We start from the raw sequence: 12,071 nt of genomic DNA on the forward strand, positions 1-12,071 counted from the left end.
CTTGTTTGCTTCCTTCATGGCATCTAACAGCATACAATAATTTGGTCTATTCTTTTGTGTTTTACTCTAGAATGTATACTTCTGAAGGATAGGGATTGTATCTGTCTTGTTTCCATATTCTTCCTAGTTCCTAGCTACAGTTTCTGGTACATAATAAATGTGCAATAAATATTAGTTGAATGAATAAATGGCATGATGATTATCAATTTGACAAATAATTTTTGAAAGGTTATTGTGAGAAACAGATTGGAGATTTGCTTTATGTGACTCCAGAAAGAAATTAGAAGACAGGTTTTAGCTCAGGAGGTAGAGTTTCCTATCCTGGATGGGTTCAAGGATAGTCTTGATAACCACTTAAGCAGTTAATAGGGGTATATGTATCTTGAATGTGTGTTGTTCATGTTTCGTGAGAGTAGCAAGTGAAAGCTTGTTTCCTTTTCTAAATTTGTAAACAAATGAGAAGTATGAGAATCAGAGATGGGGATGGGCACACTGGCCTATGCCTGTAATCCCAGCACTTTGGGAGGCTGAGGTGGGCGGATCACTTGAGGTCAGGAGTTCGAGACCAGCCTCGCCAACATGGTGAAACCCCGTCTCTACTACAGATACAAGAAAGCCAGCTGTAATCCCAGCTACTCGGGAGGCTGAGGCAGGAATATGGCTTGAACCTGGGAGGCAGAGGTTGCAGTCAGCTGAGATCATGTCATTGCACTCCATCCAGCCTAGGCGACAGAGTGAGACTTTACCTAAAAAAAAAAAAAAAGAATCAGAGATGGTGATGAAAATACTGTTATTAGAGGGGTTTAGACATATGACATTATAATAATTCACCCCAGATTAGTTTTGAACTAAACTGGCTGTTGTTACTTCTTGACACCTACAGGCTTTCCTAATGAGGACAGGCCACTGAGGATGTGAATGAGAGCAGAATGAAAGCACCTTCTCTGTTGATAGGCAGATCTAAGAGAGAGGGAAAGAGAGAGAGCTTGGAAGGAATTATGCCAAGCATGCACCCTACTCTTTCTCAATCTCAGCACTTAAGTCCCTGGGAAGGAGAGTGTCTTTAGAAGTGCTCATTTCCTTTTGGAAATGTGAAGCCATAGAATGTTCCTTATACATGTTTCTTTTTTTTTTTTTTTTTCATTTAATTCAAGTATTTTTTTTTGAATGCCTACTGTGTCTTAGATGCAGTAGTGCTATTTTCTGGAAAGAAAGCAGTAATCAAAAAAGACATGGCCCCTGCCTTAAGTTGCAGCTATAATAAGTGCCGTGAATAAGACATATGGCAATATAAAAGTATATTAGGATAATATGTAAGTTTTCCATGTGTGGGAGTGATTGAAACTCTGAGAGAGAATGAAATCAACTAAGGGGAGCATAGAGTTGGAGGAGATGTGAGCCTAAGTGATTAATTGCACCCTTTAATAATCTGGTAAAAGAGAAAAAGCTTTGTACACTTTGTTCTCTTCTCATTAGGCTTAATCATTAAGTTTTTAGTGAACCAGGATGTGGCTGCTCTTCTTGGGGAAGGAGATAGTGTCTAAAGTGACTACTTCAAAAGCTGTTCTTCTAATATCAGCCACTGCTTTGTGTATTCTCCTGTGACACTGGGAGGGCAATTTACGTTTTGACCCATGAATGGTCTGAAATGTGTAAAAACAGTGCATCAAATATTTTATCTCCAAGGCCCCTCCATACTCTAGGCTGAAAATAAGTGCTCCCTCCCTATTCTCCTTCCTGTCACAAATTATGCCCAAATATATTATGCCATGTAGCTCACCATAGATTTTATAGACTCCAAGTAGTAGAATAAAGCTATTCCAAGTAGTAGAATAAAGCTATTCCAAGTAAATATTCACCAGTATTTAAAAAGTCCCAAATTTATATAAGCCATCCCCCACTGTCAGATTCTTTTTTGTTTTAACTTTTATTTTAGGTTCAGGGGTATATGTGCAGGTTTGTTATGTAGGTAAACTGCATGTCACGGGGTTTTGGTGTACAAATAATTCTGTCACACAGGTAGTAAGTATAGTATCTGATAGGTAGTTTTTCTGATCCTCTCCCTCCTCCCACTTTCCACCCTCAAGTAGGCTCTGGTGTCTGTTGTTCCTCTCTTTGTGTCCATGTGTTGTTTGTTGTTTAGCTCCCGCTTATAAGTGAGAACATGTAGTATTTGACTTTCTGTTCCTGCATTAGTTTGCTTTAGGAAAATAGCCTCCAGCTTCATCCATGTTGCTGCCAAGGACATGGTCTCATTCTTTTTATGGCTGCGTAGTATTCCATGGTGTATATATACCACATTGTCTTTATCCAGCCTACCACTGATGGGCGTTTATGTTTATTTCATGCCTTTGCTATTGTGAATTACAGAATTCTTAAGGAGAAATTTAAAGGCTCTTGTTCTTGTTAGTTAAGATTCAAATAAGTGGAATTCCCAAATTTTTAAGTTAAAGTTCAAATAAATGAAAATTTCTAAATATTATACCCAATTTTTATTCTACTAGGTGTCAGCCCGAGGGGTCTCATTTCCTGTCCCTGGAGCAGTTATCCTAAGTAAAACGATGTTTCCAGAGTCTTATTTCTATGGTCAAAGATTGTTTTAGAGACCACAAAGAAGAGTAGTCAAGGAAATCTTGGTTTCAGCCTCATTGGGATGCCAGTGGTCACCCCTCCTGTCTTCTTTTGAGTTCAAAACCAAGAGAATTAGATCAGATAACTTTTTTTTTATTTTTGATTAAGTTAAATTGAGGAATGTGGCTTGCATTTGTGGCCATGTTGTCTTCCCAATCTACTTCCTAGTGAATTAAGTTTGTCTTCATAAAGAGCTGACCTTCCTTTTACAGGAGCAGGGCCTTACCATATGGATGAGCAGAGATTGCTAGTAATCTAGGAATGGGCAACCTAGATGGCTCACAAGCGCCAGGAAGAGGCTCTGCTAGGCTAGTCATGTGTAGTTCCTTCTTTCAGTCTCAACAACCCGATCTAGTCAGTGCAACATAGGCCATCTTGACGCTTAATATTTTTCAGATAGTTTTCTTATTTACCAGGAAAACAAATTGTCATATTTGTTCATGTTTGTGTTCTTTGATTTATCATCATTTAAAATATGATATTCACTTGGATAAAAGAATCAGCTACAAATACATTTTTCTTACCTTTCTGAAACCAAGTTGGTTGCTAAGATATGAATGAGACCTGTTGATTCCATTAAGTTATTTTGTATATTGGGCCATTTTTACATTGATATGCAAATATCCAAGCAGTAAAATATTCCCTTAAAAAGCCAAATTTGTTGTATCATCAAACAGCACCAACCATTTAAAAGATTAGGTTCTAGATGTAAAATTTTGTTATTGTACCTTTCTATCTTTTATTCCCAGTTTTGATTGATAATCTCTGCAATGCTGTTTATTTCTTTAGCCTTACATATTGGTCATTCTCAATAGAAATATAAAATAGTTACTGCTACATTTGGGTATACAAGCATTGTTCAGTTTATAATTTCTGAGTTTATTATGAGGTCTTTGGGACAGGCTCACACCAAAGCCTGGGATATACTTCAGAATTTTCAGGAGATATGCTTCTATAGTTGTGATACTAGACTATAGTTTTCTTCAAATTGTTTAGCAGGCTGTAATAGAATTGCTGGGTTAGCATCATTAAAAGTTCATCTTACTGCTGCAATGAGTTTGAAAGTCTTGAATAATGTTAGCATGAGAGATCAACTTCCCAGAATATATATTTATAGATTAAATCAGTGTGGTGACCCAGCAGGTGGAAACATTCTGGTAATATTTTGGAATACCAGTCTTCCTTATGGTGAGCTCTGCAATTACCTAGCGGTGTAACAGTATACTACTTGTCCTTTGACTGATGTACTTTTTAAGTGTTTTGTTGATTTCCTTTGGAGCAGTCAGGTCTTTAATTTCTTCATATCTTCCCTCCTTCTTAGAGCTTCCTCCACCCTCCATCACACAACAATAGTTATGAGAAAAGAAAAGAAGGAATTTCTTTTTAAAAAATATTTGTGGTTGCTTGTTGGTAAGGCAGTCATTTCATCTTCGGATCTCCAGTTTAGTGGCCACTGTTTAAGATATGGAGCCATAGAGTTATCTGAACCCAGATAGCTGAAAGTTGCCTATTTGTTCCTCTTTTATATGTATAGGCAGTGGTTTGACTTTCATGAGCATTTTTTATTTGGGTTTTAAAGAAATAATTTGACTTAATTTATTGTTAGAAACAAAATGATGGCAGTGCCAGCAGCACTGTGCTAGGAATAAAATTTTGTTTCTTTATTAGCTACTTTTCTTTTCTGATGCTACATTTCAAAGTCCATCATTTAAAAAATGCCTTGTGAGAGAATCTGTAAGTCTGCCTATTAATTATGACCCCTCAAAATATTCAGAAAAGTAAATGTTTTAAAATGTATTTTTTTTCCCTCCTATGTCAAATGACTCAACCTCAGCCCCTTTTGAAAGGCCAAGGGGCTTATTAGCTACTATTGTATATGCAGATCGAGTGCTGTTCCTGACTGTGTAAGAATATAAGATCCTGTTTTGGATTTCATATCCACTCTAGCATTACTGTTACATCCTGTTATGTTAGAATTGAGAAGGGATAACTGTTATTAAAGATCTTATCTCAAACATTTATAATAAACAGGAGGTGTATAGCAGCAAAATAACACATTTAATTTTTATTTTAAACATAGAAAATTTGTAGATTTATTAGAACTGACTAAGTCATAAAACTCACTAAATAGAAAAAAGACTGGATAATTTGTCAGATGACTAGAAATTAGATGTCTGTTTTGGAAACATTTTGTTAAATTCTGTCATTACTAAGAAATGTGAAGAGACTTGCTTCTAGAGTTTAATAAGCAAGAACTAAAAACATAGTATTACCCAACCATTCATAATAATCTTGTTAAAATATGTTCATATGTGTGTGTTTGTAATTATGGTTAGCATGATTAATGATCTTTATCAAATAACTAATATAGCTTACATTTTTAACATCTTATATTGCAGTATTACTAAGCTGTGAATGAAGGTGGAAATGATTTCAAAATAGGACATATTTTCTGTATGTAAATATTATATACTGATGACTCCTAATGTCTGTTTTGGCTTTCTTTAATTTTTATGATAATAAAGCCAGCTATCTTGTAATGGTTTTCTACTATAATTCTAGAGAAGAATTTAGGTTCATTCCAGTTTAATCCTTTTGGCTTTACCTGGAATAAAAATACACTTTATATTTGTTTTATTTACGTTATATACAGTGTATTTAGTATTTGTTAATTTTGTATTTTATGTTTCATGTAGTTTTGAAGCTCCTTTAAAATAGTTACTAAATATTTGCTAATGTATTAATGGAAAACTGTTAAAATATTTTGGGTTTTTTTTTTTTTTGGTAAGGAACATTTGTGTTAGTAATTGTTCATGTAGTAATTGATACAGTGTGTTAGTATTTTCTACAAATCCTCTTTTTTATTATAGATCTCCACAGGATAAAAGAACACTTCTTGTGAATTGTCAGAATAAGAGTCTTTCACAGTCTTTTGAAAATCTTCTTGATGAGCCAGCATATGGTTTAATACAAGTATGTTCCTTAAATCTATCCTGTATTATTCTGACTGCATTATTTTATATACCCTGTACTTCTCATCTTCTCAGAGAGTATGCAAAATGAGACAGGTACATATATATACATAGATATGTGTGTGTGTGTGTGTAATCTTTTTGGAACTATTCTCTAATTTTACAGAAACAATAATAAGTTTTCATGTTATTTGCAAGACTCAGAGGCTTCCTTGGTTCTTAGTTACTCATAAGGAAATTTCTCAGTTTATTATAATACTAAAATTAGACATCAGTAGATTTGTATCATAACTTTTATTGATTAGGCCAGGGATCACAGAGTAGGCCAGTTTGAATTCATTAATGATCGGTTTAGGCAAAAATCTGGTTTGAATTTAAGTAGATTGTTTTGACGTCATGACAATCTTATTCCCCTAAGAATATTTGAGTACTGTTCTTACATTTGGCTAAAAATGTGCACTTAATAATAGGCAGAAGTAAATTTAATTATCACTCAGATGACTATGTAAAGTAATGAGATGGTTTATTCATTTATTTATTTATTCACTTATTCATTTAACAAATATGTGAGTGCTTGCTGTGTCCCAGCTATTCTTTTCCTGGTTTTGAAGATGTAAAGATTAATAAGATATAGAGGGAACTTTAGGAAAGAGGATGAGAGAGAGAACTAAACACTGTTTAAAATGGACAATAAAAGGATAATTTTACTTATTGTGAAAAGAATTATTTAATAAATAACTGTTTTTGCTAAATATGAATGAGCAAATAGTTTGGGCTTCAGAAGTTACCCTGGCACTTAACAGTAGAAAAACCTTTTGCTGTTTTCCAGGGTAGCACTGTCCCAGAATAAATTATTCTTGTTGGCATGATTTACTATTCATATAATTAGATTAAAATGTCAACTAATATTTAAATATGAGTTTTTAAATTTAGCCATCAAATATTTTGTGTCAGAATAGCATGGTGGTACACACTTCAAGAAATATTTTTTTTGTATGAAGGCAGGACTGCTAGACAGAAGAAAGCTGTTGTGGGCCATTCACCACTGGAAAGTAAGCACTGCGTATGTTTTCTGATGTATGCAGATTGAGTGAAGCCTGCAAATCATTTGTTTATCTGCAATTCAATCAGTAGCATTAACTTGTCATTTATTATGCTATTTTAACCAAATGAAATGATTGGCTTAGAAAATTTAAATTTTTCTTTGAAGAAAGAAAATACAAATTTAAGATAATCTTAGAACACTCTGTTTTAGTCCTGATTTCTTTTCTTTTAAAAAGCTTTGCTTTTTTGCTCATGATGGAGTATTCGTTTTTCTTTATTTGAGTTAATAATGCTAATATTTTTCTTCCTACTGCATAGAAAATTAAAAAGGACCCTTATACGGCAACTATGATAGGATTTTCCAAAGTCACAAACTACATTTTTGACAGTTTGAGAGGCAGCGATCCCTCTACACATCAACGACCACCTTCAGAAATGGCAGATTTTCTTAGTGATGCTATTCCAGGTCTAAAGATAAATCAACAAGAAGAACCAGGATTTGAAGTCATCACAAGAGTGAGTAAAGATTAGTATTAATATAGCTCTTATATTTTAACAGGAGAACATGTACTATAGAAATAGAAACTTAATTTTGGTGATATCTGCTTCTTTCCATAATCTGTTCTTAACAACTTTTTGCTAGTATATCTGACAATGAGTGCTTGTCCTGCCACTAAGTTCTTCATTTGTTCTCTATCTTATACTCTTTCTTGATTAATGTTGGATCTCTCTTCTTTGATTACCTTTTGATAATGAAGTTTGTTTCATTGGGTGCATAGCAGAGTGAGGAGCGAACCTTTCCTATTACCTCTTAGTTCTGTTCCTTACTTGCATGTTTTCTCATAGGCATCAGAGACAGCTAGTCAGGATACTACTTTTAGGGCTTTTATTCTCATGTAATACTTCCTTTTTTAAGTAAGATGGGTTTTGGCCTGAATTATGGCAGATCTTTATATGTGCTCAGTAAGATTTAAATTTGCTACAATTCTAGGCTTGTACATAGTTAGAAAACTATAAATATCTAAATTTTAGTGCTTAATTAAAGGGTTTATCTTGCAAATACTATTTTAAAATTACCAACATCTGTTAATTGAATAAAACACTATAGAAAATGCCGAGTGAAGCTAGTGGGTCATGAATCAATTCTGAGAAATACAAACTTTAGAAGAAAAGCTAATTTTTAGAATATGATTAATGGAATAATTATATATTCTCTCTTTTTAAATAATACAGCATATCATTTGGTTTGAAGGTTTCTTACAGAATTTACATGTTGAATGTTCTATACTTACATAATTGAACCCAAAATAGTAAAGAGCTTTCTTTTAATAACAAATATTTTTAGTCTGTGGGGTTTTCTGTTTCTGAATTTATAACCCAGTTTGTTGTGTGTTTAGTAGAAGGGAAATACATGTAATGCTAACTATTATAGTTAAACTAAACATGGGAAAATAAGGAACAATCTTAAAAGTATTAGAAGTCATGTCTGAAAAACAGTATTTTAAATTTAGTTTCTATATGCCTTTATTTCATTTCACTGGTTAAATATGTACTTATTATTGCTTAATCTTATTTTTAGATTGATTTGGGGGAACGCCCTGTTGTTCAAAGGAGAGAACCGGTATCACTGGAAGAATGGACTAAGAACATTGATTCTGAAGGAAGAATTTTAAATGTAGATAATATGAAGCAGATGATATTTAGAGGGGTAATTTAAACACTCTAATATGGCTTGTCTTATAAACTCCTAGTATTTAGGGGTTTTGTTGTTATCGTTACTGTTTTGGTGTGTTTTTTTTTGTTGTTGGTTTTTTTTTTTTTTGGTGGGGGAAGTAGGGAGGAATGAACTCTGTTATTTCTTTGATGAATGATGCCTTAAAATTCCTGGATTGAGTAGGACAGAGTGAGGTGCTTATGATGTTCCTGGGGGTTGGGTAGACCCTTAACTCTGGGGGAAGAATTCTTCCGTACTTGAAGTTCTGTGGGTTTTGTGAAGGAGGCCTGCATTCCAGTGGCATTTGCCTTATTCTGTAAGATTGGGCTTAGACTCACCAGTCACACTGTCTGTCTGCTGTAGTCTACTGTATTCTGTAGTCTACTGTATTCTGTGCACTGTTTAAACTTTCTGGCAGCTGCTTACATCTTTTGGATCTAGAAGTAAAAAACAAGATGATATTCACTGAATTGAACTATTTACATATATGAAACTACCTCTTAAAGATTAGTTTTCCTTTTTATATGCAAGTTTTGTGAACTTACAGTATTACATTCTTTTTCATTCATGTATTTAATATGTATGCTTTCTTCAGGGACTTAGTCATGCATTGAGAAAGCAAGCATGGAAATTTCTTCTGGGTTATTTTCCCTGGGACAGTACCAAGGAGGAAAGAACCCAATTACAAAAGCAAAAAACGTAAGTAATGGTCTTTCGTACATTTATCAAAGAGATTCAAGTAACCCACTCATACAAATTAGTATAGGGTTTCTAGATGAGGATTTGGAATAGACTGGGGAATGGAAAAACAACTTCATTTTTATGTTTTAACTTAAAAATTATGAGCATTCTAATTATTTTAAATCAGAAACTTACTAGAAGCACCTTTTTGCATTTATTTTTGTGAATATGTAAAAAGAAGATAAACATATTCCCTTATATAAGCCTTGTACAAGCCTTTTGCATACTTGAAAGATAACTACGTAGACATACACTTAAAAACATCTCTCATTCATCTTGATTCATTTTTATAATTCATTATGAAATTATAAATGGCTCATAAGAAATATATTTGCTATTTAGATTAATTACCTTTAAGTTACTTTTCTGATACTCTTATAATGGATCCTTCATTCTTTTTGGAAGAGTATTTCTATTTTAAGTTATTCCTCAGACTTGAAAGGAAACACAGACCAACTTTCCAGGTACAACTTCTTGTTCTCAGTTGTCAGTCTAGCCTTTGATTTAAAGCTATTTTCAGTCATTATGTGCATATTTAAGTTATCTGACAGTCTTCTCTTTTCAGCTTGTTTACCAGTTCTTCTAAGACATTTTTACATTAACTAGTTTCTGCAATAAACTGCTTGGAAATGGAACTATAATGTCACATTTTTTAAAAAAAAAGTCACTTAGATTTGTATTTACAATTATTTGGAAACTTTAGTGGTTAAAATATTTCATGACTAGAATACTTTTAGACATGATTTTAAGGATGAGATAAATGTTTTTGTAAAAGAATACCTAAAATTATTCTAGTAGTTGAACAAAGTTTATCACATAAACTTTGTGATATTTATCGGTTATTTTTTTCTTTTGTTTTCACTTATTTATCATAACTTTAAACGTTTTGCTATTGTTTTTATAAACTTACATTCCACTAGCATCATAAATGCTTTGATATACTGTTTATAGAAAAACCCAATTAAACAGTGTTAAAAATAAAGTTTTCAAATAGCTTTCTTTGATGTCAAATTGTTTTCTATAGTGATGAATACTTCAGAATGAAACTGCAGTGGAAATCCATCAGCCAGGAACAAGAGAAAAGAAATTCGAGGTTAAGAGATTATAGAAGTCTTATCGGTAATTTTTTCTTAACAACTTTGGAAATGCAAGGGGGGATTACATTGAAATCTTGATAAGAGTAAAGAAGTGAAGATACATGGTAATAGCACTAGGGCTCAAAAGAGAAATCAGAATAGGAAAGTACATTGCAGTGTGTGTTTAATGTTCTTTGTTGTTCCTCTTCCAATAGGCATATTAATTCAGTAAGTTTATTTATAAGTGTTGATATATTTAATTTTCAGTTCCAAAGTATGAATTTCTAAAAAGATTGTTTACCTTTATTTGCTTTTTGAATTAATTTCATTTTTAAAAAACTTTATTTTCTTTTTTATTATGAAAGTCTGTTTATTGTAGAAAAATTAACTGTAGATGAGCAAAAAGAGGTAAATAGAAATTATTTTTGTTTCTGTCACCCAGAGATAATTATGGTTAATAGGTATTGGTTTATATCCCTTCAGAACTTCTTTAAATATACATATATTTCATTTTTAAAATTAAATAAATGACTCCAGATATAAAATTTAGTATTTGAAAATAGAATATTTACCTGGGGATAACTATTCTCTAAAACACAGAGATGCTTGATAGAATTTTATCATTAAAGCATTAGTTGCATTTCATAATCTCCATTTACAAATGAGAAACTGAAGCATGGAGAACATAAATGACCTGTCCAAGGTCACACATGTCCCAGTTTAATGTTCTTATTACACTGTCTCTGTAATTTTAGGATAGCATTGGATAGTACTGGAACTTAGTTTTGAAATTCCTATATTGTATCTGGATTTGTATATCCGTGGTTTCATAAAGAATGATAGAGGGATTTGTTACTGCTGTTAACACCCTCCCATGAAAGAAATAATTTTTTAAATTATATTTAGAAAGCCCAACGTAACAGGCTGATTTGGTACCGTTTGTGGACATGAAAACAAGATCTTTTTGGCAGTGATACTTTTGATCCAAAAAGAATTTATTTTTCTGAAATGTAAATTATACCAGAATAAACTTTGTCCTTTCTCTGATTAAGGCGAAAGTTTGGGAGTCCTGAGTTTTGGAGTTTAATCTAAAGTTTCTAACTGAAGCTTCTTGATATTTTCAGTTTCAGTAGGAAAAACAATAAGGGATTCTGGTGTTTTACTCCTGCTTGAGCATAAAATATTCGAACTGGAAGGGAAGTTAGAGGTCAACTAAACCTGTATTTTAAGCCTCTTCTTTCTGCATGCCATATCCTCTTCCCTTTATATCAAGGATCAATGTTGATGTCTCTGATATTCTCAACCTTTCATGTCCTTTTCTGATCCTTTCCAGGAGACTGGTAGGAAAATTTAGATATTTAAAGTCCCCATAATGTAATTTGAATTGAGACATACTGTAGCCTACTTTGTTCATTTTTAGCAGATAAAGTTGAAGCCCAGAAAGGTTAGTCAGTTGTCTTAAGCCATCTATCTCGTTAGTTTTATAGTTCAGACTCATTCATACTCAGATCTAATTTTGAGTGGCCTTTCAGCTATACCATGCTTTCTGCCAGTAGAAGTGCATAAAATAAGTTAGTTTTAAAGCATTCTTTTTCTATAATGCTTTTTCCCAAATGTATTTTGAGAATGCTCATCAAAAGCTTTTTGGGTGGTATAAATTTACTTTTATTAAAAGCAAAACTACGCAGTAAGCTTTAGGTCTTGCATACATGCCAATAAGTTGGATTTTACTTTAAGTATGATGAGACTCTATTGGAGCATTTTAAGGAAGAGTATTTTATTTATATTTTAAAATCATTTTTACTGCTTTGTGGAAATTCAATCAAAGTAAGAGTAGGAATAGGGAGACCAGTTAGTGGAAAGCATAAGTTCAGGCAATAAATGGTAGTAGAG

The 12,071-nt window shown here is 32.9% G+C and overlaps 1 protein-coding gene across 44 annotated transcripts in view; it reads left to right on the plus strand.

The window, feature by feature from the left end:
* TBC1D15 (TBC1 domain family member 15) overlaps positions 1–12,071 on the plus strand; it is an 84,555-nt gene that overhangs the window by 47,962 nt on the left and 24,522 nt on the right. For 32 of the 44 annotated variants that reach the window (NR_169783.1, NR_169767.1, NR_169785.1 and 29 more), the window contains 5 exons: positions 5,502–5,604; positions 6,966–7,163; positions 8,227–8,355; positions 8,957–9,060; positions 10,127–10,221. Coding sequence is in view for 18 of the 44 variants with exons in the window: in XM_047429363.1 (XP_047285319.1) it covers positions 5,502–5,604; positions 6,966–7,163; positions 8,227–8,355; positions 8,957–9,060; positions 10,127–10,221 (629 nt within the window). In the remaining 26 variants the exon portion in view is untranslated. Of the gene's footprint in view, positions 1–5,030; positions 5,086–5,501; positions 5,700–6,077; positions 6,080–6,604; positions 6,656–6,965; positions 7,164–8,226; positions 8,356–8,956; positions 9,061–10,126; positions 10,222–12,071 lie in introns of those variants that run through there. The other 12 variants (NR_169765.1, XM_011538679.1, XM_047429362.1 and 9 more) reach the window with 6 other exon arrangements.

This window comes from Homo sapiens, chromosome 12 (genome assembly GCF_000001405.40).
Source record: "Homo sapiens chromosome 12, GRCh38.p14 Primary Assembly".
NCBI lineage: Eukaryota > Metazoa > Chordata > Mammalia > Primates > Hominidae > Homo > Homo sapiens.